Source organism: Homo sapiens, chromosome 19 (assembly GCF_000001405.40).
Source record: "Homo sapiens chromosome 19, GRCh38.p14 Primary Assembly".
Classification (NCBI taxonomy): domain Eukaryota; kingdom Metazoa; phylum Chordata; class Mammalia; order Primates; family Hominidae; genus Homo; species Homo sapiens.
Genome location: NC_000019.10, coordinates 7,125,784 through 7,153,183, shown reverse-complemented (window position 1 = coordinate 7,153,183; position 27,400 = coordinate 7,125,784). Strand labels below are relative to the sequence as shown.

Here is a 27,400-nt window from a genome sequence, read left to right as displayed (position 1 = left end):
GTGTGTTTGTGGTGTGTGTATGTGTGGTGTGTTGTGTGGTGTGTGTGGTGTGTGGTGTGTGTGTGTGGTTGTGTGTTTGTGGTGTGTGTATGTGTGGTGTGTTGTGTGATGTGTGTGGTGTGTGTGTGTGGGGGGGTGTGTGGTGTGTGTGTGTGTGGTGTGTGTGTGTGGTGTGTGTGTGTGTGGGGTGTGTGTGTGTGTGTATGTGTGTTCAGCCGCAGAGACTTGAGCCCCCCTTTTCTGTTTCTTTCTCCAGGGCTGAAGCTGCCCTCGAGGACCTGGTCTCCACCATTCGAGTCTGAAGATTCTCAGAAGCACAACCAGAGTGAGTATGAGGATTCGGCCGGCGAATGCTGCTCCTGTCCAAAGACAGACTCTCAGATCCTGAAGGAGCTGGAGGAGTCCTCGTTTAGGAAGACGTTTGAGGATTACCTGCACAACGTGGTTTTCGTCCCCAGGTCAGGACTTGGCGCTGGGCTCTCTTAGTGGGTGCCAATTGGCTTGGTGTTGGTGGAAGGTCATTACTTAGGGACCGAGAGGTAGTGGGACCCAGAGACGGCAGAAGGGTGGGTGGAGTCTGAATGGAGCCCTTTCCTGGGTGGAGGAAGAGATCTTGCAGTTTCGAAATTTCGAGGGGAATTTTATCAGGAAGAGCAAATAATCGCACAAAAGGGGAAAAATGGACAAAACTCAGCATTTGCCTTTCTTACCTCTCCTGAGCTGGTCTCCACGTGAGTTCCAAAACAAACTCCGTTAGACGATTAACATTTTTTTTTTTCTCTCTCTCTCTTTTTTTTTTTTTTTTGACAGAGTCTCACTCTATCGTCCAGGCTGGAGTGCGGTGGTGCGATTTCAGCTCACCCTTTCCGGGTTCGAGTGATTCTTGTGCCTCAGCCTCCCAAGTAGCTGGGACTACAGGTGCGCAGCACCACGCCCAGCTAATTTTTATATTTTTAGTAGAGACGGGGTTTTGCCATGTTGGCTAGGCTGGTCTCTAACCCCTGACCTCAGGTGATCTGCCTGCCTCGGCCTCCCAGAGTGCTGGGATTATAGGTGTGAGCCACCGTGCCTGGCCGTGATTATTGAGGCTTTAGCTGAGCGCAGTGGTGTAAGCCTGTGGTCCCAGCTAGTTGGGAAGCCGAGGTGGTAGGGTTGCTTGAGGCCAGCCTGGGCAACATAATGAGACCCCATCGCTACCAAAAAAAAAAAAAAACAGTTTAAAAATTAGTCAGGCATGGTAATGCATGTCTGAACTCCTAGCCCATGGGGAGGCTGAGAAAGAAGGATCACAAGAGGCCAGGAGATGGAGGCTACGATAAGCGATGATGGCGCCACTGCGCTCCAGCCTGGGTGACAGAGTGAGACCCTGTCTCTAAAAAAAAATTAAAAGTATCTGTTCAGATGTTTACCAATGCTATTCATCCGAGCAGACTTTTCTCCCAGAACCACCAGTGTGTAAGAATCCTCTTTTTTTTTTTTCTTTTCTTTTTCTTTTTTTGTTGCATGTTTCCCCTATGACCCTGAGTCCAAAAGAATGTTCAGGGGGACAGCCAAGGCTTCAAAGTGGTTACTGTTTCACCTGTTACAAACAAAATGTTGGCTAGGCACAGTGGCTCACTCGTGTAATCCCAGCACTTTGGGAGGCCGAAGTGGGAGAATCAGTTGAGGCCAAAGGTGGAGACCAGCCTGAGCAACAGAGTGAGACCCTATCTCTACTAAAAAAGGAAAAAAAAAAAAAAAATAGCCAGACATGTTGGTGCATGCCTTGTAGTCCCAGCTACTCCGGAGGCTGAGGCGGGAGAATTGCTGGAGCACAGGAGTTGGAGGCTGCTGTGAGCTATGATGGCACCATTGCACTCCAGCCTGGGCAACAGAGCAAGACCCTGTCTCAAAAAGGAAGGAAGGGAAAAAAAGAAAGAAAGAAAGGAATGGAGGGAGGGAGGGAAAGAGGAAGGAAGGAAGAGAGAAAGAAAAAGAAAGAAAGAAAGAAAGAAAGAAAGAAAGAAAGAAAGAAAGAAAGAGAAAGAAAGAAAGGAAAGAGAGAAAGAAAGGACAGAGAAAGGAAGGGGGCAAGGGAGGGAGAGAGGAGGGAAGGAAGGAAGGAAAAAAGGAAAAGAAAGAAAAGAAAGAGAAAGAAAATGAAAAAAAGAAGGAAGGAAAGAGAAAGAAAGCAAATGAAGGAAGGAAAGAGGGAAAAAGAGAGAAAGAAAGTAAAAGAGGAAAGAAGGAAGGAAGGAGAGAGAGGGAGAGAGAAAAGAGAAAGAGAAAAGAAAAGGAGAAAGAGGAAAGAAACCAGAAAGAGAGAGAGAAAGAAGAAAGAAGGGAAAGAAAAGAAAAATTCTGCCAGACTTGGAGAAGTGGCTGAGTCAGTTGTGATGTCCACATGTAGTCACGTTTGACATCCCAGGGCCACCTCAGCAGGCCGTCTCTGGGGAGAATTTTCTCTGATTTCTTCCCCTTCCCTTGCTGGACCCCTGCACCTGCTGGGGAAGATGTAGCTCACTCCGTCTAGCAAGTGATGGGAGCGAGTGGTCCAGGGTCAAAGCCAGGGTGCCCTTACTCGGACACATGTGGCCTCCAAGTGTCAGAGCCCAGTGGTCTGTCTAATGAAGTTCCCTCTGTCCTCAAAGGCGTTGGTTTTGTTTCCACAGAAAAACCTCTTCAGGCACTGGTGCCGAGGACCCTAGGTATGACTCACCTGTGCGACCCCTGGTGCCTGCTCCGCGCAGGGCCGGCGGCGTGCCAGGCAGATGCCTCGGAGAACCCAGGGGTTTCTGTGGCTTTTTGCATGCGGCGGGCAGCTGTGCTGGAGAGCAGATGCTTCACCAATTCAGAAATCCAATGCCTTCACTCTGAAATGAAATCTGGGCATGAATGTGGGGAGAAACCTTCACTAACACACTCTTGCTAAAACATAGAATCATGGGAGTGCTTCCTGGGTACCCCCTCCCTGCCTTCTGTTTGCAGCCACTGTTTGCTCACTAAACATCTCTGCACCTCCCGCGTGCATTTGCAGAGGTGGGTGGGGGTCCCCGGAGTCTGAGCTCCCCGCGGCTGGGTGCCCCGACCCAGCAGCTCCTACACCATGAATGGAGGTTGATCTGGAAACAGAATATTTTCATGAAAGGGCGACAGGGTATGAACAAAAGAACACCGTGTCGCTCACTGAATTCCACGGAGGAGAGTCAGGGATCTCTTCCTTCCTTCCTTCCTTCCTTCCTTCCTTCCTTCCTTCCTTCCTTCCTTCTTTCTTTTTTTCCTTCTTTCTTTCTTTCCTTCTTTCTTTTCTTTTCTTTATTCCCTCCCTCTCTCCCTCCGTCCGTCCCTCCCTCCCTTCCTTCTTTCCTTCTTCTTTTTTTTTTGGATGGAATTTCACTCTTGTTGCCCAGGCTAGAGTGCAGTGGTGCGATCTCGGCTCTCCACAACCTCCACCTCCCGGGTTCAAGCAATTCTCCTGCCTCAGCCTCCTGAGTAGCTGGGATTACAGGCATGCGCCACCACGCCCGGCTAATTTTTGTACTTTTAGTAGAGACAGGGTTTCTCCATGTTGGTCAGGCTGGTCTCGATCTCCCGACCTCAGGCGATCCGCCCGCCTCGGCCTCCCAAAGTGCTGGAATTACAGGCGTGAGCCACCGCCCCTGGCCAGGGACGTTTCTTTTCAACTTGAGTCTTAAGAGAATGAAGCAGTATGGTCCTGGGAGAGAGAAAAAGCTTGGAGAACTTGGGAGAAAGGCAAGGAGATGTTTACCTGTCGTGGCTTTTGGGAGGAACAGGAGGTGAGACTAAAGAGGCAAGTTGGGACCACTTGGAGAGATTTTCTTCCTTTAGCAGAGTGTTTATTTATTTATTTTTTCCCAGGCACCTGTGTGGCCTGATCTGCCCTCTAGTGGCCATTTGCAATACTAACTGTAGCCAAGAAGGGTCTAAAAATGTACGGGCTTGGTCCAAAGCAGATCTCAATCTCAGTCCTGCTATTAATAATATTCGGGTGGCTCACGCCTGTAATCCCAGCACTTTGGGAGGCCGAGGCGGGCGGATCATGAGATCAGAAGATCGAGACCATCCTGGCTAACACGGTGAAACCCCGTCACTACTAAAAATACAAGAAATTAGCTGGGCGTGGTGACGCAGCTACCCCAGGCGGGGCAATCACTTGAGGCCAGGAGTTCGAGACCAGCCTGACCAAGATGGTGAAACCCCGTTACTACAAGAAACATAAAAATTAGCCGGGCGTGGTGACACACGCCTGTAGTCCCAGCTACTCGGGAGGCTGAGGCAGGAGAATGGCGTGAACCTGGGACGCGGAGCTTGCAGTGAGCCAAGATCGTGCCACTGCACTCCAGCCTGGGCCACAGAGCGAGACTCCGTCTCAAAAAAAATAAAAATAAAATAATATTTGGGGCCACAGCTGGACTTGGTAGCTCACGCCTGTAATCCCAACACTTTGAGAGGCCCAGGCGGGGCAATCACTTGAGGCCAGGAGTTCGAGACCAGCCTGACCAAGATGGTGAAACCCCGTTACTACAAGAAATATAAAAATTAGCCGGGCATGGTGACACACGCCTGTAGTCCCAGCTACTTGGGAGGCCGAGGCAGGAGAATCACTTGATTTCTGGAGGCGGAGGTTGCGGTGAGCCGAGATCTCGCCACTGCATTCCAGCCTGGGTGACAGAGCGAGACTCTGTCTCAAAAAAAAAAAAAAAAAAGAATAAATACATAATACTAATAATAATAATAAATAATATTTGGGGTCAGATTATTCTAGGGCACTGTCCAACAACACTGAGAAGCATCCCTGGCTTCCACTCATCTGATGCCAGTAGTGTGTCTTCCCCCTAAAGTAGTAATAACCAAAAATATCTTCAGACATTGCTAAATATCCCCCTGGGTGATGGGGTCAGAAGGACCCTTGGTTGAGATGACCAGGTTAGTGTGGGATTGCTGGATAATAAAATGCTGCCTAGGCCAGGTGCTGTGGCTCATGCCTGATGCCTGTAATCCCAGCACTTTGGGAGGCCCAGGCAGGCAGATCACCTGAGGTCAAGAGTTTGAAACCAGCCTGGGCAACATGGCGAAACCCCGTCTCTACTAAAAATACAAAAATTAGCCGGGCATGATGATGCACGCCTGTAATCCCAGCTACTTGGGAGGCTGAGGCAGGAGAATCGCTTGAACCCAGAAATTGGAAGTTACAGTGAGCCAAGATCACACCACTGCACTCCAGCCTGGGCAACAGAGCAAGACTCTGTCTCAAAAAAAAAAATCAGTTGATGCTTTGTCTTTTGCCACTTCATGGTCTTTTTGGTTATAATCTTTTTGGTATATAAACTCATTTGGCCTGTTTGATGAGCCCATTTTACATCTCTGGTTGTTGAGATACCAATTTCTCAGTAGTTACTCATGAAGCACCAACGTCTTGGTTATTTTCACGAGACCCATTTGTGCCTGTATAGAAATTATCTGAATCTTGCTAATACGGACATATCTTTGGCTTGATAAGTGGTGGAGCTGTTTTCTTTTCCATTCTACAATGTTGTTAGTCTTTTAATACAAAAAGACCATAAAGAGAATCTTAAGAAATGCCCCCAAAGTAGGATTTGTTTTCTGACCACACATTTTCTGATGACGCTGCAATAGAAACTAAAAGTTAATTTCAAAAGATTAAACAGAAAACTTCACTTCTTGGTGGTTAAAAGTTAAACACTTACAGGCTGGGCGCAGTGACTCACACCTGTAATCGCAGCACTTTGGGAGGCCCAGGCAGGCGGATCACCTGAGGTCAGGAGTTTGAGACCAGCCTGGCCAATATGGTGAAACCCCTTCTCTACTAAAAATACAAAAATTAGCCAGATGTGGTAACGTGCGCCTGTAGTCCCAGCTACTCAGGAGACTGAGGCAGAAGAATCACTTGAACCTGGGAGGTGGAGGTTGCAGTGAGCCGAGATCACGCCACTGCCCTCCAGCCTGGGCAACAGAGCGAGACTCTGTCTAAAAAAAAAAAAAGTTAAAAAGTTAAACACTTACATATCTATCGGGCCAAAGCAGAAATGGAAACTTCCATTGAAGTCCTTTTGGAAAATAATGAAAATGTGAATATCACATACCTTAACTTGTAGAATATTGTCAAAGCTTGGCTTTGATGTTACTTAGCAGACTTAAATGGATTGATAAATTAAGAAATAAACTTTAAACTATAAAACTATAAATGTGTTAGGAAGGGAAAAGCAATAACAGCTAAGCCTATGGTAAACATAATCAAAGGGAAAACACAAACCAGAAGGAAAGAAGATGACATAAAACTAGCGTCTGAAGAAAATTTTAATGTGTTAAGTTCTTTGGACAATGGTGCACTTGCTAAATTTGAAAGTTTCAGTAAGGTGGGAAAATTTAACTTGTCTAAATGGATTCAAAAAGAAGCAGAAAAATTAAGTGGTTATGAACCTTGGAAAAAGATATGTGTCAAATAATTTCCTCAAAAAAGTCCCTTGGCCCAGAGAGTTTTATAGACACGTTCTTTCAAATTGTGAGAGAGCAACTATTTCCTATAATAGAAAAACTATTTTAGGGCACAGAAATCTATAAAAGTTATCCCAGTTCATTTTATGAAATGAACATAACACCCTTAAAGAACTTGACAAAGAGGTTGAGCATGGTGGCTCATGCCTGTAATCCCAGTACTTTGGGAGGCTGAGGTGGGGGGCGGATCACAAGGTCAAGAGATTGAGAACATTCTGGTCAACATGGTGAAACACTGTCTCTACTAACAATACAAAAATTAGCCAGACATGGTGGCACACGCCTGTAATCCCAGCTACTTGGGAGGCTGAGCCAGGAGAATCGCTTGAACCTGGGAGGCAGAGGTTGCAGTGAACCGAGGTTGCGCCATTGCACACTCCAGCCTGGCAACAGAGCAAAACTCTGTCTCAAAAAAAAAAAAAAAAAAAAAAGAACTTGACAAAGATACTGCACTGAACAAAAGCCACAGGCCAAGCTAATATGTGATGTTAGATTCAAATGTCCCAAATAAAACACTGCACTGGCAATATTGTTTATCTCCAAAATGCAAGGATGGTTTAAGATCAGAAGATTTGATAACATCATCTAGTTCATCAAGAGGTGCAATAAGGAAGATCATATCTGTTTCAATAACCTTAATTTAAAATTCCTAACTTAGAGAAAGGGGAGGAAAAAAAGAGGCTTCATAAAACTCATAATAGAATATTTCTTCTACAAGATAAATATTACCTAGGTTAAACCAACAGCCAAGCTAACATCATTCTTAAAATTATTCTTAGCAGAGTTAGGAACAAAACAAGGAAGCCCCATCTCATCATTACTAATTAACATTTCTCTGGGCATCCAGCCAATGTAATAAGACAAGAAACAGAAATCAGAGTTGTAAAGAATGGAATGTGGGAAATAAAGTCATTGCTATTTGCAGAGCGTCTAGCTCAAGGGTAGGCAAACTATGGCCCATGGGCTAGCTGCCTGTTTTTGTAAATGAACTCTTATTGGAATGCAACCCCACCCACTTGTTTACACATCATGTAGGGCTGCTTTAAGCTACAATGACAGAGTAGTTGTGACAGAGGTCATTTGGCTTGCAAAACCCAAAATATTTATTATCTAGCCCTTTACGGGAAAATTTTGTTGACCCCTCTTCTAGTGTGTCATTGAAAACCCAGGAAAGCCAATTATGAAACTTTTTAAATGAGTTAGAGTTTGGGAAAGTAGGTACATAGAAATAAGCAAAAAGACTGTAGATACACAAGCAATAATTAGAATATAAAATAAGGGAAAAGATCCCTTTCAAAATTGCCGTAAAACCTTAGCACAACTCATAATAACCCCATCTAGAATGACTTATAAAGGAACACGTTTTAAAGTGTTACTGATATATTAAATTGTACAAATAAACATGAAAGCCTGTTTCAAATCATTTAAAGAAAGCTTACTGGCAAATGGAAAAGAGTAAGTTGTATAGCACGATACATAAAAGGTTAATATCCTTAATGAATAAACAACACAGGAGTAAGGAAAACACAAGAAATTCATGGAAAAACAGACAAAAGACAAGGAGGGGACAATTCTTTGGAGAATCACAGAGAACCAATAAAGGAAAAATGAAGTCACACTCAGTAATATAAAGATCCGCAAATAACGTAGTCGAGTGATAGCATATTTTTAATCTCTTGGGTTAAAGATCTAGACAAACAAACATAGAAAGAAAAAAAAAAACTATTAAGGCTTAGGGGTTGCTGAGATTGTCCTGGAATGCAGTCTCATGGCCTGCTGGTGCAACCACAAGTCAATATAGAGTTTCTGGACAACCATTTAGCTGTAGGTATTAAGAAGCTTAAAGAGTTTCTTATCTCCCTGAACCTAGTAATATTTTCCTCTAGGAATCTACTTTGGGGAAGTAATAAGACAATCAGACAATGATCAAAGGAATATTTATAACAGCAAAAAAAAAAAAAAAGAGCCATGTGCGGTGGCTCATGCCTGTAATCCTGGCACTTTGGGAGGCTGAGGTGGGCAGATCACCTGAGGTCAGGAGTTTGAGACCAGCCTGGCCAACATGGCGAAACTCCGTCTCTACTAAAAATACAAAAATTAGCTGGGCATGGTGGCGGACTCCTGTAATCCCAGCTACTCAGGAGGCTGAGGCAGGAGAATCGCATGAACTCAGGAGGCGGAGGTTGCAGTGAGCCAAGATCACGCCGTCGCACTCCAGCCTGGGCGACAAGAGTGAAACTCTGTCTCAAAATAAATAAATAAATAAGGAGGATGGTTAAGTGAGTGACGACTCACGTAGCAAATGGAATATTTTACAGTCATTCATCGTTTTCCAAGTTTTCTGCAGGGAACACATGCTACTTTTGTAGATGATGGAGGAAAACCCTAATATTAAAAAGGAAAAGTCCCAAAATTCTCTCCTAAAATGTTATGTTGAAAGGAAAATATTTAGTAAATGCTTCCAATATAATAAGTAGACAAAGTTTACTTATAAAACAGGCTTGATCCTCATCATGTTCACACATAATATTTACAGGGAAAAAATTGTCCAAAGGAAGCAGTGGGCTGTGGATTTATGAGTGATTTATATTTTCTTTTCTTTTTTTTTTTTTTGAGACAGAGTCTCACTCTGTCGCCCAGGCTGGAGTGCAGTGACACGATCTCAGCTCACTGCAACCTCCGCCTCCCGGGTTCAAGCAATTCTCTTGCCTCAGCCTCCTGAGTAGCTGGGATTAAAGCTGTGCACCATCAGGCTCGGCTAATTTTTGTATTTTTAGTAGAGACGGGGTTTCCCCATGTTGGCCAGACTGGTCTTGAACTCCTAACCTCAGGTTATCTGCCCGCCTTGGCCTCCCAAAGTACTGGGATTATAGGCATGAGCCACCTCGCCCAGCCTACATTTTCTTCTTTATCCTTTTTTCTTTGTATTTTAAAATTTGTTAGCTATCAACCTTTGTTGTTTAATATGTCTTCTTAAGGGATGGGGAGAAGTGTGCCAATTGCATAGATGTTTCTTGGAGTTAATCTTCCTGACCTGAGTGATGTGATTCCTTTTCTAAGAATTGCAGCTTAATCACTCAAATTATACAGGTGCCCTAAGCAGCAATAAGAAGGAAAAGATGTATTTTTTCCTATTTAAACTGATGATGTCGATCAGTAGCTTGGGCCAATGAGCAAATGCCATTTGGCAGGGCTTCCTGAAAAGCTAGACTCTTACGTGCTTTTGGTGTCTTATTTTTGTCACTGACCCTGGCTGGCCTATTTATCTGCAAAATGAAAAACCTGAAATCGAGCATGTCGAGGGGAATATCGGTGTGTGTCTACCATTGACGGTCTTAGAAGCACTCATCCCTCACGAGGTGGGCCTGCTCTAATCCTTCAGATGCTCACAAGGGTATATTGAAAGCTGCTCTGAGTGGTCATTCCTGGCAGTCTGTATTGTAATCCATGTTCCCCATTGCTGCACCCTCCTGCGCTCTGATCTTTCTTCTTAATCAAGCCTTTTATTCTCCAGTGTCACTTTTTTAAAAAAAATGATGGTGATGGTGTCATCATACATGTCCTACTGTCGTTCCAGGCCATCTCGGAAACGCAGGTCCCTTGGCGATGTTGGGAATGTGACGGTGGCCGTGCCCACGGTGGCAGCTTTCCCCAACACTTCCTCGACCAGCGTGCCCACGAGTCCGGAGGAGCACAGGCCTTTTGAGAAGGTGGTGAACAAGGAGTCGCTGGTCATCTCCGGCTTGCGACACTTCACGGGCTATCGCATCGAGCTGCAGGCTTGCAACCAGGACACCCCTGAGGAACGGTGCAGTGTGGCAGCCTACGTCAGTGCGAGGACCATGCCTGAAGGTAGGGCTGCTGCTCCGGGGTCCGAGTGTCATGGGTGGGACATCAAGGCTGACCAAGGACAGATTCTCCACCCTCTAAGCAGTGCATATCTGTATTTTACCTTATTGGCCTTCATTTTTGTTTGAGACGGAGCCTTGCTCTGTCGCCCAGGCTGGAGTACAGTGGTGCGACCTCAGCTCACTCCAGCCTCTGCCACCTATGTCAAGTGATTCCCTGCTTCAGCCTCCCAAGTAGCTGGGACTACAGGTGTCTGCCACCACGCCCAGCTAATTTTTGTATTTTTAGTAGAGATGGGGTTTCACCATATTGCCCAGGCTGGTCTTGAACTCCTGGGCTCAAGTGATCCACCCACATCGGCCTCTCAAAGTGCTGGGATTACAGGCATGAGCACCGAACCTGGCCTTTTTTTTTTTTTTTTTTTTTTTTGAGATGAAGTCTTGCTCTGTCGCCCAGGCTGGAGTACAATGGCGCAATCTTGGCTCACTGCAATCTCCGCCTCCCTGGTTCAAGCAATTCTCCTGCCTCAGCCTCCTGAGTAGCTGGGACTACATGCGTGTGCCACCACACCTGTATTTTCAGTAGAGATGGTTCCACCATGTTGCCCAGGCTGGTCTCCAATGCCTGAGCTCAAGTGGTCCGCCAACCTTGAGCTCCCAAAGTGCTGGGATTACAGGCATGAGCCACCATGCCAGGTCATATTTTAAAATTATGAGTCATAGGCAATCATTATGTAAACTTTAGAAAATACACCACTGCACTCCCGCCTGGGTGACAGAGCAAGACTCTGTCTCAAAAAAAAAAAAAAGTTATACGCAGAAAGTAACCCATTTAATCTTCCTAACAATCTTGTGGGATGAGTTTTAGATGTCCGTTCTCTGACGAGGAAAATGGGTTGTGGGAAAATGACGTCACCAGCCCAAGGTTGCACCATGGACAGGTGGCAGAAGTGGGATCTCATCCAAGAGTTACATCCCTGCCTCTCACTTCCTCTCCTTACAGCCAAGGCTGATGACATTGTTGGCCCTGTGACGCATGAAATCTTTGAGAACAACGTCGTCCACTTGATGTGGCAGGAGCCGAAGGAGCCCAATGGTCTGATCGTGCTGTATGAAGTGAGTTATCGGCGATATGGTGATGAGGTAAGGCCCTTGACTCTTGGGCATGCCCCTGCACACTTCAGCATGCCCCTTCAGAGTTGCACTTGGTACCTCCTTCCTCTGCTGAAATTTTGATTCCAGTGCTTCTCTCATCAGGTACTGTGCTATTAGTACTTAAAGCCTTGATACCTGACTTCGCAGGAAGATGGGTCAGAAATGCCAATCTACCAGCTTGTTACTTTTCTTAGTTTCTCACATTGCTTTCCAGCTGTGTCCTCTAAGTTGAATGATGTCTGCCTCCCACCACAACAGGAGACTCATTTCACTTTAGAAGGAGTTATTTGAGTCTTAAAACCTTATAAATTGCTGGGTACAGTGGCTCACACCTGTAATCCAAGCACTTTGGGAGGCCGAGGCAGGCAGATCACTTGAGGCCAGGAGTTTGAGACCAGCCTGGCCAACATGGTGAAACCCCATCTCTACAAAAATACAAAAATTAGCCAGGCGTGGTGGTGGGTGCCTGTAATCCCAGCTACTCAGGAGGCCAAGGTGGGAAGCTGAGGCAGGAGAATCACTTGAAGCCAGGAGGTGGAGGTTGCAGTGAGCAGAGATTGCACCATTGCGCTCCAGCCTGGGTGACAGAGTGAGACTCTGTCTCAAAAACAGCAACAACAAAAACCTTATAAGTTACTTTCATTAGATGCTTCCATTGAGCCAGACACCATGCAAGGTGCTGGGTGAGTGCAGAGATGCACAAGACATAGAATCCAAGACAAATAACCCAAAAGAACCCAAACAGTTGCTAAGCTCTTCCCAGGGCTCACTGTATGTCCCAAACACATTCAGCACGTTACACAGAGTATCTCATTGATCACATTTTATTACCTCTAGGAAATTTTGAGAGGCCCCATTATTTTTATGGACAGCTAGGCAAAAAAAAAAAAAGGGCCGTTAATTCTAATTTTATTTTTTTCGTAGAATATAGATCCTGAGTACTGTTAAGTGTTTGTAAAATGCATTGCTTGTAAGATGCATTCCAATTTCAGAAATGCCAAAATGCAAAAATAATATACCTCTTGGGACTGAGGAAGTACAATACGTCCTCACATTATCCCAGTGAGCTGGGTACTGAGGCTTCCAGAGTTTAAGTTGCTGCACAAAACCTGGAAGAATAGAATCATGATCCAAATGCATGACTGATATTTCAATCCAGAAACTGCCAAATTTTTTTTACCATAAAGGTCTGGATAGTAAACATGTTTGACTCCGTGGCCAGATGATTTCTGTTACAACTACTCAATTCCACCATTCTACTGAGAAAGCTGCCATGGGTGATATGTAAATGAATGGATGTGGTTGTGTACCAATAAAACTTTATTTACAAAAACACGTGGTGGACCAGGTTTAGTTGGTGGGCCAGAGTTTGCCAACAACTAACAGAGATTACAGCAAAATGTCTGATTTCCTGGAACTTTGAGAGGGAGTCCTCCTATAACCAGGTGGACCTCCCTCTACCCCTCCTGGGACCACATCTACTCTTGGCAACCAAAGATTTTGGCTTTGACAATAATTTACAATTGAGATCTAATTCTAAATTATTGTGGCTTGTGGGCCAAATCTGGCTTGCAGAGCATTGTAAAGAATGTGCAACAGGGTTGAGGTCAGGAGTTCAAGACCAGCCTGGCCAACATGGCGAAACTCCGTCTCTGCTAAAAATACAGAAATTAGCTGGACGTAATGGTGGGCGCCTATAATCCCAGCTGCTCCTCGGGATGCTGAAGCAGGGAGAATTGCTTGAACCCGGGACGCAAAGGTTGCAGTGAGCCAAGATCGTGCCACTGCACTCCAGCCTGGGCGACAGAACAAGACTCTGTCTCAAAAAAAAAAAAAAAAAAAAGAATACGCAACAGAGACTATATGTGGCCCTTCACAGCTTCACAGAAAAAGTAAACTTTCAAAAATAGAAAGTGTCCTTACTGAACTTGTCATTCTGGGCCTATTTTGGGGCCCTGTTTGCTAAATGAATGGCTTGATTTGCCTTTTTTAACATTCATTTTTAAAATAAAATTGCTAAATGAATGGCTTGATTTGCCTTTTTTAATATTCATTTTTAAAATAAAATTCCTTATCATACAGAGCTCAGCTAGTTTTTAATTGGCAGAAACGTGCATATGCCTCTAATCCATATTCATGAGTTACTTTCCTCTGCCTTTTGATGTCTCTGTCCACAATAGCCTTTGGAATTATGATTTGTAGTTGCTAGATAGAATTTAATCTCATGATTGGGGTATCATTTATTTTTGGGGATTTGGATTGCCTCTGGTTTTTACCATGTTAGGTAATACTAATTTTATCTGGAAACCATTTTAGCTTTTTGGATTGACAGCTTTAGTTATTGTTTCAGTCAGTTCTTGCTGCGTAACAAACTGCCCCCAAAGGTACTGGTTTAAAACAAAGGACATTTATTCTTTCTCTCAATTCTGCAGGTTCACTGGGTGATTCCTTTGTCCTGGGCCAGTTTGGCTGGGGCTGGATGGCCTCATTCACATGGCTGGGGCCTCAGCTGGGGGCACTTGGAGCTTTGTCCTCATGTGTTCTCTCACTGCCCAGTGAGCTAGCCCAGGCAAGGAAGGACATGCCCCATATACAAACACTTCTTAGGACTCTGTTTGCATCACATTTGCTAGTGTCCCTTTGGCAAAGTGAGCCCATGGCTAAGCCCAGAATGAGGAAGTACAATACATCCTCTGAGTATCTCAGTGAGCTGGATACTGAGGCTTCCAGAGTCTCATAGACACAGAAAGTCATGATTCCCTGGGGGCCATAATTGCAAAGTTTATTAATATATTATCCTATATGTATTAATCCTGTAGGTCCTAAGGAAATAATTCAAATTTGGGGCAGGGAACAAAGCTCTATGCATAAGATTTTCATCAGTAGCAAAATATGCAAACCACTAAGATGTCCATCCATTGGAGAATGGACACATGGAAGACGGTGCATCCATAGAATTGGTGGATGAAGAGCCATTGAAAATGATGTTTGGGGGCCAAGCATGGTGGCTCATGCCTGTAATTCCAGTGACTCAGGAAGCTGAGGTGGGAGGATTGCTTGAGGCCAGGAGTTTGAGCCTGGGCAACACAGCCAGACCCCATCTCTGCAAAAAAAAAATTTCAAAATTAGCTAGGTGTGGTGGTCTATGCCTGTAGTCCCATCTACTTGGGAGGCTGAGGAGAGAATTGCTTGAGCTCAGGAGCTCCAGGTTATAGTGGGCTGTGACTCACTCACTACACTGCAGACTGGGTGACAGAGCAAGAAGACTCTGTCTCCAAAAAAATAAGATAAAATGTTTGGGATGACCTTTGTTCAGTGTAATGTAGAAGTTAAAATTACATGCTCTGGAGTTTAGTTCGTTTGTGTTGTTATCCCCCAGCAGTTAAGAATCCCCCTGTATCTGCTGGGTGCAGTGGCTCACGCCTGTAATCCCAGCACTTTGGGAGGCTGAGGCGGGTGGATCATGAGGTCAGGAGATCGAGACCATCCTGGCTAACACGGTGAAACCCCGTCTCTACTAAAAATACAAAAAAATTAGCCGGGCATGGTGGCGGGCGCCTGTAGTCCCAACTACTTGGGAGGCTGAGGCAGGAGAATGGCGTGAACCCAGGAGGTGGAGCTTGCAGTGAGCCGAGATCACGCCACTGCACTCCAGCCTGGGCGACAGAGTGAGACTCCATCTCAAAAAAAAAAAAAAAGAAAAAGAAAAAAGAAGAAAAAGGAATCCCCCTGTATCCAGACTAGCTTATGATAGAGGAAAAGCTTCTTAGCTCCCAGAGTTGAACAACTGAAGAGCTTCTCACATGGCTGGATCCAGGATTCCTTTGGGTCGGTTGCATCTTTTTTTTTTTTTTTTTTTTTTTTTTGAGATGGAGTCTCACTCACTCTGTCATCCTGTCATCCGGGCTGGAGTGCAGTGGTGCAGTCTCAGCTCACTGCAACCTCTGCCTCCCTGTTTAAGCGATTCTCCTGCCTCAGCCTCCTGAGTAGCTGGGATTACAGGCACCCACGACCACACCCAGCTAATATTTGTATTTTTAATGGAGACGAGGTTTCACCATGTTGGCCTGGCTGGTCTCGAGCTCTTAACCTCAGGTAATCCACCCACCTTGGCATCCCAAAGTGCTGGGATTACAGGCGTGAGCCACCATGCCTAGCCTGGGTCAGTTGCATCTTAACGGCTCCTGGCAGTGAGCCCAGTAGCCCCTGGTTGTCCACCGGTGGTTGTAGTGGTTCCAAACCTCATTTCTTTGCAGTGCCAAACCCAGAGGAAGACAGAGTGCATCCCAGCATTCCCAGCTAGACTGAGGTCATGTGACATCCAGTGCCCAATCATGTGACCAGAGGAATGCTGTATGCTGATTGGCTTGGGCATGAGGGATTTTTTTTTTTTTTTTAATTTAGAAACAGCTTTATTGAGCTGTAACTTACATACCATAATATTCACTCCCACCACATGCTAGAGAGAATTTTGTAAATGGAGTAAAATTACACTCCAACAGTATAAATTGTGCACATAAAAATAAAGTTTTAGGCCAGGAGCAGTGGCTCACGCCTGTAATCCTAGTACCTTCAGAGGCCATGGTGGGTGGATCACCTGAGGTCAGGGTTCAAGACCAGCCTGGCCAGCATGGTGAAACTTCGTATCTACTAAAAATACAAAAATTAGCCGGGCGTGGTGGTGCACGCCTGTAATCCCAACTACTCGGGAGGCTAAGACAAGAGAATCACTTGAACCCGGGAGGCAGAGGTTGCAGTGATTCCGAGATCACACCACTGCACTCCAGCCTGGGTGACAGAGTGAGACACCATCTCAATATATATATATATATATATGTAAATAAATAAATAAAGTTTTACATCACTTTTTTTCTTGATCAAAGCAATGCTAGGTAATTAAGGACATTGTTGGCAATAACAGAAATGTGTCTATGAAAAGGTTCTTAAGAAGGTGACTGTAACCTCACATTCTCCTTTCATTTTCTCCCCCATCTCTGCTTCTCTCTAGGGTGAACACAGTTGGTCTGGGTGGGATTGGGGTTGTGCTGTGTGGGGCAGAGGCTGTTGGGGATTCGTGATGGGAATTCCTAATAGTGACCCTTGGGTCCCAGGAACAGGAGACACGGGCCAGTCAAAGGCATGGGAAGAAGCTAGGAGAAGTTAGGATTCGAGTTAAATCCAGTGCCAACAGGGTGACCAGTTGTCTAGGTTTAGCCAGGACTGAGGGCTCCCTGGGATGTGAGATTTTCAATGTCCACACTCAGAAAGTTCTGGGCAAATGGGGACAAGTTGGACACAGAAGCAGAAAAAAAATCAAGGAGGGTCTGCAGTGGAAACGGGCATTGTTCACTCTGCAGAATCTGTATTCTTGCTGTCAACAATGCCCCGAACTTCCTCTGGAATCTGCTCCTCACCCTTGAGTGGCTCTCACCTCCCACTCTCAACCCCAGCCTGGTACCAGGGCAAAACACAAAACTCAGCCCCAAATTAGCCATGACAAAAATGCAAATCAAGACCACGATGCAATACCACTTCATGCCCACGAGCGTGGCAAAAAACAAACAGACGGACAATAACAAGTGTCGGTGAGGATGAGGAGAAATCGGAACCCTCATACATTGCTGGTGGGAACATAAAATGGCACAGCTGCTTTAGGAAAGAGTTTGGCATTTCTTTCATTCTTTCTTTTTTTTTTTTGAGATGGAGTCTATCTCTGTAGCCCAGGCTACGGTGCATTGGTACGATCTTGGCTCACTGCAACCTCCGCTTCCTGGGTTCAAGTGATTCTCCTCCCTCAGCCTCTTGAGTATCTGGGACTACAGGAACCCACGACCTCGCCCGGCTAATTTTTGTCTTTTAGTAGAGACGAGGTTTCACCATGTTGGTCAGGCTGGTCTCAAACTCCTGACCTCGTGATCTGCCCGCCTCGGCCTTCCAAAGTGCTGGGATTATAGGCGTGAACCACCGTGCCCAGCTGGTGGAAGGTATTTTTTTTTTCTTTTGCTAGTTTCATAAACAAAGCCACCTCTAGCTATTTAATTGCATTTTCAGTATCTCCCGTTAAAAAAATTTTTTTTTTCAGAGACAGAGTCATGGTGTGTCACCCAGGCCCGCCATCCGCCACCATGCCCAGATAATTTTTTTTTTTTTTTCAAACAGAGTCTTGCTTTGTTGCCCAGGCTGGAGTCTCGCTTTGTGGCACACGCCTATAATCCCAGTTACTCAGGAGGCTGAGGCAGGAGAATCGCTTGAACTCGGGAGGCGGAGGTCGCAGTGAGCCAAGATCATGCCACTGCACTCCAGCCTGGGTGACAAGAGCGAAACTCCGTCTCCAAAAAAAAAAAAAAAAAAAAAAAAAAAGAAGATGCATTTCCCCTTTGTCCTGGATAGCAGCTACCTTGGGTTTCTATATTTGCTTATTTGTCCCTCTCTACTCGGTGACTCATTCCACTTGGAAGAAACTTTGGACTGGAGTTCCCTGCCCCCACCCCTGCCACCAGACTGATTTGTTTTCTTGCTGTTATTGTCACACGATAAGCATGGGGTTGTTGGCTTTTTTTTTTTTTTTTTTTTTAACATTTCTTTCTCTTCTCCACTCTCCACCCCCCTCCTAAATGTTCCAGCCCGGTTCTCTGCATGCACTATTAGCTTGGAACTGTGTCGAAAACTTTTCAGAGTTTTGGGCTCGATGCTTGCAGGTTTCATGGTCTTATTCCCAAGAGCCTCCTGTCTCTTCTCATAAGTTCTGGAATTATCTCTAGTTACGTGCTTATCACAGGGTATGTTTCCCACTTTGCAAATCTCCATTTGGGTGGATCCCAACTGTTTTATTTATTTATTTATTATTTTATTTTATGTGTTTATTTTTGAGGCAAAGTATACCACATTTTCTTTTTCTTTTTGAGACAGTCTTGCTCTGTTGCCCAGGCTGGAGTGCAGTGTCACGATCTCGACTCACTACAAACTCTGCCTCCCGGGTTCAAGTGATTCTCCTGCCTCAGCCTCTCGAGTAGCTGGGATTACAGGCGCACACCACCACAACTGGCTAATTTTTGTATTTTTAGTGGAGACGGGGTTTCACCATGTTGGCAAGGATGGTCTCAATCTCTTGACCTCGTGATCTGCCCGCCTTGGCCCCTGAAAGTGCTGGAATTACAGGCATGAGCCACCGTGCCCGGGCTTCAACTGTTTTTATAATGATTAAAAAAAAAAAAATCGAAAGGCAGCACCGTGGCAAAGAAAGAGCTTTTTTATTTGTCCTTAGACATTAAGCACATTTATCCATTTGGTTCTGATGTGACAGAGGCTGGGAGTTGCAGGGAAAGGCAGGAAATCTGGCATAGGCCCTGCAGATCCTTCATTTCCACTCTTTTCTAATTTTGCTGGATACATGGCAAAAATATTCTGCAGTGGTCTTAAGGAGAAGTTCTAGAGCCAGACAGTTCTCTTTTTTTAGTTTCTTTCTTTTTATTTATTTATTTTTTTTGAGATGGAGTCTTGCTCTGTCACCCAGGCTGGACTTAAGTGGCGCGATCTCGGCTCACTACAAGCTCCGCCTCCCGGGTTCACGCCATTCTCCTGCCTCAGCCTCCCAAGTAGCTGTAGAGCCAGACAGTTCTGAGTTCAAGAGCTGGCCCTGCCACTTTGCAGCTATGAGATCTCGGACAAACCATATAATCTCTTAAACCAGGGGTCAGTCAGTAAGCTATATCCCATAGGCTAAATGTGGCCTGCTGCCTGATTTCTAATGATTTGTGAGCTAGGAGTCACTTTTGCATTTTATTTATTTATGTATTTATTTTTGAGATGGAGTCTTGCTCTGTCACCCAGGCTGGAGTGCAGTGGCACAATCTTGGCTCACTGCAACCTCCACCTCCTGGGTTCAAGTAATTCTCCTGTCTCACCCTCCAAGTAGCTGGGATTACAGGCGTGTGCCGCCATGCCCAGCTAATTTTTGTATTTTGGGTAGAGGTGGGGGTTTCACCATCTTGACCAGGCTGGTCTCGAACTCCTGACCTCAGGTGATCCGCCCACCTCGGCCTCCCAAAGTATTGGGATTACAGGCATGAGCCACCACGCCCTGCCCACTTTTGCATTTTAAAATGATTAAAGGAAAAACAAGGAGAGACGTGAACCAAAGGGTGCAAAGTTTCAGATGGGAGGAATACGTTCTAGGAATCCACTGCTCTGTAGATGAATGGTGACTATAGCTAATAACACATATTGCAAAATGGCTAGAAGAATAGATTTTAAATGTTCTCACAACAAAGAAATAAGTACATGAAGTGATGAGGATTTAATTAGCTTGTTTTAATCATTCCACAATTTATACTGTAACATAACTTTACACTGTACCCCATACGTGTACACAACTATTATTTTTATTTTTGTTTATTTATTTTAGAGACAGGGTCTAGCTCTGTCACCCAGGCTGGAGTACGGTGGAGCCTTCATAGCTCACTGCACCCTTGACCTCCTGGGCTCAAGTGATTCTTCCGCCTTAGCCTCCTGAGTAGCTGGGACTACAGGTGCGAACCATCGTGCCCGGCTAATTGTTCTATTTTCTGTGGAAATGGGGTCTGGCTATGTTGCCCAGGTTGGTCTCTAACTCCTGGGCTCCAGCAATCCTCCCTTCACGGCCTCCCATAGGGCTGGGATTACAGGCACGAGCCACTGTGCCTGACCTATAATACTGTTGTCAATTAAAAATAAAACAAATGATTTTTAGAAAGATAATATTATGGAAATTAATATTAATAGAAAATAGATAATAGGGCTGGGAGCTGTGGCTCACGCCTGTAATCTCAGCACTTTGGGAGGCCGAGGTGGGCGGATCACTTGAGGTCAGGAGTTTGAGACCAGCCTGGCCAACATGGTAAAACCCTGTCTTTACTGAAAATACAAAATTAGGCAGGCGCGGTGGTGAGCGCCTGTAATCCCAGCTACTCGGGAGGCTGAGGCAGGAGAATCACTTGAACCCGGGAGGCAGAGGTTGCAGTGAGCCGAGATTAAGCCATTGCGCTCCAGCCTGGGCAACAAGAGTGAAACTCCGTCTGGAAAAAAAAAAAAAAGGAAAAGAAAAGAAACCATCAGGGTTTAATGCTCAGCTTCTGGCTTAGGAAGTCTGGCTCTTACCGATAATGATAACCTCTGCATATATCTTTATCCATAGCACTATGGTTATAAAATTCTGCAATTCTCAAAGTCGCTTATGTGTCTTAGTCTGTGCTTTGCTGCCTTGGCGTCATTTCTGAGCAGGATCCTGGCTGTGAGCTCCCTGCGAGGGGTGGACACTCCCAGATGTGCAAAGCTCAGCCACCCTCCTTCTCCTCCTCTCTTCCTCCCAGGAGCTGCATCTCTGCGTCTCCCGCAAGCACTTCGCTCTGGAACGGGGCTGCAGGCTGCGTGGGCTGTCACCGGGGAACTACAGCGTGCGAATCCGGGCCACCTCCCTTGCGGGCAACGGCTCTTGGACGGAACCCACCTATTTCTACGTGACAGACTATTGTAAGTCTCCATGGCAGCCTCAGCTGACTGGGGCTGTGCTTAGCACTGAGCATGGTGGGACATTGCAGGGGATGACTTGGAGAGGCCGCAGGTGCTGGCCCTGGCCTTGACTCTCAGGCCTATCAGCTGCTGCGGTGCTTGCCCTCTTTGATCCTGCACTTTTTTTTTTTTTGAGATGGAGGCTTGCTTTGGAGTGCACTGGCACAATCTCAGCTCACTGTAGCCTCCGCCTCCCGGGTTCAAGTGATTCTCCCACCTCAGCCTCACAGTAGCTGGGACTACAGGTGCCCACCACCACGCCCGGCTAATTCTTGTATTTTTAGTAGAGATGGCATTTCACCATGTTGGCCAGGCTGGTCTCAAACTCCTGACCTCAAGTGATCCACCCGCCTCGGCCTCCCAAAGTGCTGGAATTACAGGCATGAGCCACCATGCCTGGCCTGATCCTGCACTTAAAAAAAAAAAAAAAAGTTTCAGAGGTACCTGTGCAGTTCATTATATAAGTAAATTGTGGCTGGGCACGGTGGCTCACACCTGTAATCCCAGCACTTTGGGAGGCCGAGGCGGGCAGATCACAAGGTCAGGAGATCGAGACCATCCTGGCCAACATGGTGAAACCCCATCTCTACTAAAAATACAAAAATAAATTAGCCAGGCATGGTGGCGGGCGCCTGTAGTCCCAGCTACTCAGGAGGCTGAGGCAGGAGCCTCAGGAACCCGGGAAGCAGAGCTTGCAGTGAACCGAGATCGTGCCACTGCACTCCAGCCTGGGCAACACAGTGAGACTCTGTCTCAAAAAATAAAATAAAATAAGTAAATTGGGTGTTGTTGGGGGTTTGCTGTACAGATAATTTTGTCACCCATGTAATCAGCATAGTACCTGATAGGTCGTTTTTTGATCCTTTCCCTCTTCTCACCCACCACTCTCAAGTAGGCACCTGTGTTAGTCTGTACTTACACTGCAATAAAGAAATACCTGGCCGGGCACAGTGGCTCACACCTGTAATCCCAGCACTTTGGGAGGCCGAGGTGGGCGGATCACTTGAGGTCAGGAGTTCGAGACCAGCCTGACCAACATGGTGAAACCCCATCTCTACCCAAAAATACAAAAATTAGCTGGGCATAGTGGTGTGCACCCGCAGTCCCAGCTACTCAGGAGGCTGAGGCAGGAGAATCACTTGAACCCGGGAGGCGGAGGTTGCAGTGAGCCGACATCACGCCACTGCACTCCAGCCTGGGTGACAGAGTGAGACTCTGTCTCAAAAAATAAAAAAGAAAGAAAGAGTGAAAGAGAGAGAGAAGAAAAAGAAAAAGAAAGAAAAGGAAAGAAAGAGAGAAAAAGAGAGATAAAAGAAAGAAAAAGAAAGAAGAGAAGAGAGAGAGGAAGAGGAAGAGGTCTGAGACTGGGACTCAGTAATTTATAAAGAAAAGAGGTTTAATTGGCTCCCAGTTCTGCAGGCAGTACAGGAACCATGATGCTGGCATCTGCTCAGCTTCTGAGGAAGCCTCAAGAAACTTTCAATCATGGTGGAAGGTGAAGTGGGAGCAAGGTGTTAAGACGGGGAGATGGTGCTACACACTTCTTAAACAACCAGATCCCATGAGAACCCACTTATTATACAGTACCCAGTAGGGATGTTGCTAACCCATTAGAAACCGCCTCCATGATCCAATCACCTCCCACCCGGCCACTCCTCCAACATTGGGGATTACATTTCAACAAGAGCTTTGGGTGGGGACACAGATCCAAACCATAGCAGTCCCGGTGTCTACTGTTCACTTCTTTCTGTCCATGTGTGGTCAGTGTCTCACTCTCACTTATGGGTGAGAACATGAGGTAGTTGGTTTTCTGTCCCTGTGTTAATTCAGTTAGGATAATCACCTCCAGCTCCATTCATGTTGCTGCAAAGAACATGATCTCATTCTTTTTCATGGCTGTGTAGTATTCCATGGTGTGTATGTATCACATTTTCTTTATCTGGCAATCCTGCACTTCCTCATCTGTACATGGAGATAATAACAGAACCACTTCAGGAGGTGGAGGGACATTTTAATGACACAAATGTTAAGTGCCTGGCACCTGTTGCTAGTGTCTCCATCTTTGTTACTAGAGTTTTTTGGCTAGATGAGGTGGCTCACACCTGTAATCCCAGAACTTTGGGAGGCTGAGGCAACAGGATTGCTTGAGGACAGGCATTAGAGACCAGCCTGAGCAACATAGCGAGACTCTGTCTCCACAAAAAAATACAAAAATTAGCCAGCTATGGTGGTGCATGCTTGTAATCCCAGGTACTTGGGAGGCTGAGACAGGGGGATCACTTGGGCCCAGGAATTTGAGGTTGCGGTGAACTGTGATTGTGCCACTGTACTCCAGCCTGGGTGACAGAGTAAGACCCTGTCTCTAAAAAATAAAAATTAAAAGAAGTTTACATCTGTCAAAAGTCATGCTGGGATCGGGACTAGCTATGTAATTTGCAAGACCCAGTGAACAATGAAAATGCAGAACTCCTTGCTTTAAAATTATTAAGAATTTGGCCGGGCACGTTGGCTCACGCCTGTCATCCCAGTACTTTCGGAGGCTGAGGCGGGAGGATCACCTGAGGTCAGGAGTTTGAGGCCAGCCTGGCCAGCAAGGTGAAACCCTGTCTCTATTAAAAATACAAAAATTAGCCGGGTGTGGTGGTGCATGCCTGTAGTCCCAGCTACTTGGGAGGCTGAGGCAGGAGAATCACTTGAACCCGAAAGGAGGAGGTTCCAGTGAGCCGAGATCGTGCCACTGAACTCTAGCCTGGGTGTCAGAGCAAGACTCTGTCACAAAAATAAGTAAATAAATAAAAATTAAAATAAAATGAATAAGCATTTCAGAGGGGCAACAGCAGAGCATTAAACTGACAGAAAAGGGTCCTGCATCCACTGCCTGAGATGTGGGAGGGATGGAAATGAGCAGTGATTTGGGGCAGGGGTGGGGAAGAGTGTGCTTCCAGAATACTGACCTCTGAGCCCACTGCCTGGTCCCACTGCACCTACGGGACTGTTTCGGGACTGCTGGAAAATCAGGATGTGGAAGAGCAGCAGAGAGGTTTATGGACAAGGGAGGGAAGGAACAGGGTGGCCCACCCATTCCAGGAGTGGATGTGATTTTTGATGTGAACTTTGTTGGAAACACATTGATATGAAACATATATTTTCTTATTCTATTTCAGTAGACGTCCCGTCAAATATTGCAAAAATTATCATCGGCCCCCTCATCTTTGTCTTTCTCTTCAGTGTTGTGATTGGAAGTATTTATCTATTCCTGAGAAAGAGGTGAGTTCAGTGAGTTCAGTGGTGTGCTGGGAACAGTTGGTTCTCTGGGGGAAAACATGCCTTGATATAGGTATAGGCATATTTAAGTTTATTATGAATTTTGCTGATATAGGATGTGTAACATGCAATTTACAGATAATTGTCATAATATGATATACACAACTCTTTATTGTAAATTCCCTCTAGACAGTTGATTCTCACAGAATGTTTTTATTGATTTTTTTTTTTGCCCAAACCTTTATATCCGAAGCTAACCTATTATTGCAATTGATAAACAAGTAAAGCTCCAATGTGAATGTTGATTAATTTTTCAAAATTTACATTAAGGAGTAGGACTTGACTGGGCACAGTGGCTCACACCTGTAATGCTAGCACTTTGGGAGGCCAAGGCGGGTGAATCACCTGAGGTCAGGAGTTTGAGACCAGCCTGGCCAACATGGTGAAACCTCGTCTCTACTAAAAATACTAAAAAATTAACCGGGCATGGTGGTGGGCGCCTGTAATCCCAGCTACTCAGGAGGCTGAGGCAGGAGAATTACTGAACCCTGGTGGCGGAGGTTGCAGTGAGCTGAAATCGCACCATTGCATTCTAGCCTGGGCGACAGAGGGAGACTCCGTCTCGGGAAAAAAAAAAAAAGTAGGACAAAACTGAAATAAGACATATATGTTCATCAGTGATATGAGTGACGTCTTTGCTGAGTCAGATGGTAATTTTTAAATATCAGAAGAACATTTTGTGCCACATGCAACATCACAGTTGCAGACATGACACGCTTTTAAGTTTAATCTACATGATTAAACATTTTTCTCAGCTGGGCACGGTGGCTCACACCTGTAATCCCAACACTTTGGGAGGCCGAGGCGGGCGGATCATGAGGTCAGGAGTTCGAGACCAGCCTGACCAACATGGTGAAACCCCGTCTCTACTAAAAATACAAAAATTAGCAAGGTGTGGTGATGTGCGCCTGTAATCCCAGCTTCTCAGGAGGCTGAGGCAGGAGAATCGCTTGAACCCAGGAGGCAGAGGTTGCAGTGAGCCGAGATCGCACCATTGCACTCCAGCCTGGGCAACAGAGTGAGACTTTGTCTCAAAAACAAAACAAAACAAAAAAATATTTTTCTCATCACTTTCTCAAGCCTGGACAAACAACAGAACAACAAATCCAGTCCTGAGTTATAGCATTTGCCAGTTTCTGTAATGTAAATATTCCCAGGATGTCTAAATTCAAGCTGTAGACATAATATTACTGAGTGCAGTGTTAGAAAGAGATACATAATAGCTCCCCATTGAATCCACCCTATGGATACAATATGGTGTATAAATGATATAATGTAAATAACCTCAACTGCATTGATCATATTTAAATGTAGTATGAGAGTTAGGAAGTGATGAGTTTTGAACATGTATTGTCTTTGCTTTTAGGATAATTTATTTAATTGTAAGCCTCTATAATTTATATTTTTTGTTCTATTTGGAAGGCATTGTACAATTTAATCTTTAATGATGCTTGTATTTAACAACTGGCTCACTAGTTTCCTGAAAATTTAATAATTGTTTCTCATCAGTCGGGATGAGCTCGCTCTAGAACAGTACTGGGTGAGTGGCTTTTAAGTGTTACATGGATGGCCATAAATTATTTAAAAAGCCAGCCAGAGCCCTGCATGGTCGTGCATATCTGTAGTCCCAGCCGCTCGGGAGGATGAGGCAGGAGGATCACTTGAGACCAAGAGTTCAAGACCAGCCTGGGCAACATAGTGAGACCCTGTCTATATGAAATTTTACAAATTAGCCAGGTGTGGTGGTGAGCACCTGTATTCCCAGCTATTCAGAAAGCTGAAGTGGGAGGATCTCTGGAGCCCAGAAGGTTAAGACTGCAGTGAGCTATGATTATACCACTGCCCTCCAGCCACAACAGAGCAAGACTGCAACTCTGAAATGTAAAAACAAAAACAAAAACAAAACAAAAAAAAAACCACCCAGGGAGGGATGAGTGCTCCCATGTTGATGCACTTACATACCTGTCTGATGGGCTTCCATTCAAAACATAAAGGTCCCCCATCCCTGCCCTAGACTGCATCTAGGATTATGGGGATTCTGCTGGTAAGGGCTGCCATTTGCCTTGGGGAGTCTTGTATGAAACACCTTTCTGCAGAGTCCCATGAGAATCTCAAGCTAACGTGCCTCGTTTTCCTCCTCCAGGCAGCCAGATGGGCCGCTGGGACCGCTTTACGCTTCTTCAAACCCTGAGTATCTCAGTGCCAGTGATGGTGAGTACCATCCCTTCCCTGTGGGTGGCCAGAACCCTACTCATCAGCTTCCTTTGCCTTCACCATTGAGTGAGAGTGAAGGATGGGTTCCCCAGGGAGGCCAAGAAAAGCCCTCTTATTCATTTGAGCTTGCCAAACTGCCCTTGCTGCAGAAACCTCATTACTGTGTGCATCTGGACACATGGTATTTGGCACCTGCCTGAATGGGCTCATCTAGCCGGTCTGGGACCCTTGGGCAGGGTCGACCACTTGGGCTGGGCTCAGCTGGGCAGTTCTTCTGGTCTTGCCTGGCTTCACCCATGTAGCTACATTTTGCTGGTGTGTCAGCTAGCACTCGGTAGTCTTAGATGATTTCACTCACATGTCTGGTGGTCAGTAGGCTGGGTGGTCCCAAGGTGGGGGCCCTAAGCTGGGGGAGGCTGAGCCTCACTCTGTCCATCTAGCCTCTTAGGCTCCAGCAGGCTGGCTCAGGCTTCATTCCATGGTCCTCTGTTGGTTCCTAGTAGAAAGCTCCAGGGCAAGCTCCAGGGCAACAGTCCATTCCAAATCTCTGCTTGGACAATTCTTGTTGATTCCCATTGACCAAAATAACTCACAAGGCCATGCCCAGGGCCAAGGGGTGGTGAGATAGACTCCACCTTTTCATGGGAAGAGCTCCAAGTATCCTGGCTTTTTTTTTCCCCAACCTATTACAACCTGTCTTCCATCCCCTTGGCACTTTGCAGAAACAGTAGTCTCAGGTGGGAAGTAGCATCATTCCATAGCAAGGGTCTGAAATCAGACAAGAAGGATGGGGATGC

The 27,400-nt window shown here is 45.7% G+C and overlaps 1 protein-coding gene across 4 annotated transcripts in view; it reads left to right on the top strand.

Moving 5' to 3' along the window:
• Nucleotides 1–27,400, top strand: part of INSR (insulin receptor) — a 182,150-nt gene that overhangs the window by 141,231 nt on the left and 13,519 nt on the right. Inside the window, exons 10-16 of one of the 4 annotated variants that reach the window (XM_011527988.3) lie at nucleotides 257–458; nucleotides 2,652–2,687; nucleotides 10,094–10,368; nucleotides 11,368–11,507; nucleotides 20,867–21,026; nucleotides 24,233–24,332; nucleotides 26,533–26,600. In XM_011527988.3, the coding sequence (XP_011526290.2) occupies nucleotides 257–458; nucleotides 2,652–2,687; nucleotides 10,094–10,368; nucleotides 11,368–11,507; nucleotides 20,867–21,026; nucleotides 24,233–24,332; nucleotides 26,533–26,600 (981 nt within the window). Of the gene's footprint in view, nucleotides 1–256; nucleotides 459–2,651; nucleotides 2,688–10,093; nucleotides 10,369–11,367; nucleotides 11,508–20,866; nucleotides 21,027–24,229; nucleotides 24,333–26,532; nucleotides 26,601–27,400 lie in introns of all 4 variants that reach the window. The other 3 variants (NM_000208.4, XM_011527989.4, NM_001079817.3) reach the window with 3 other exon arrangements.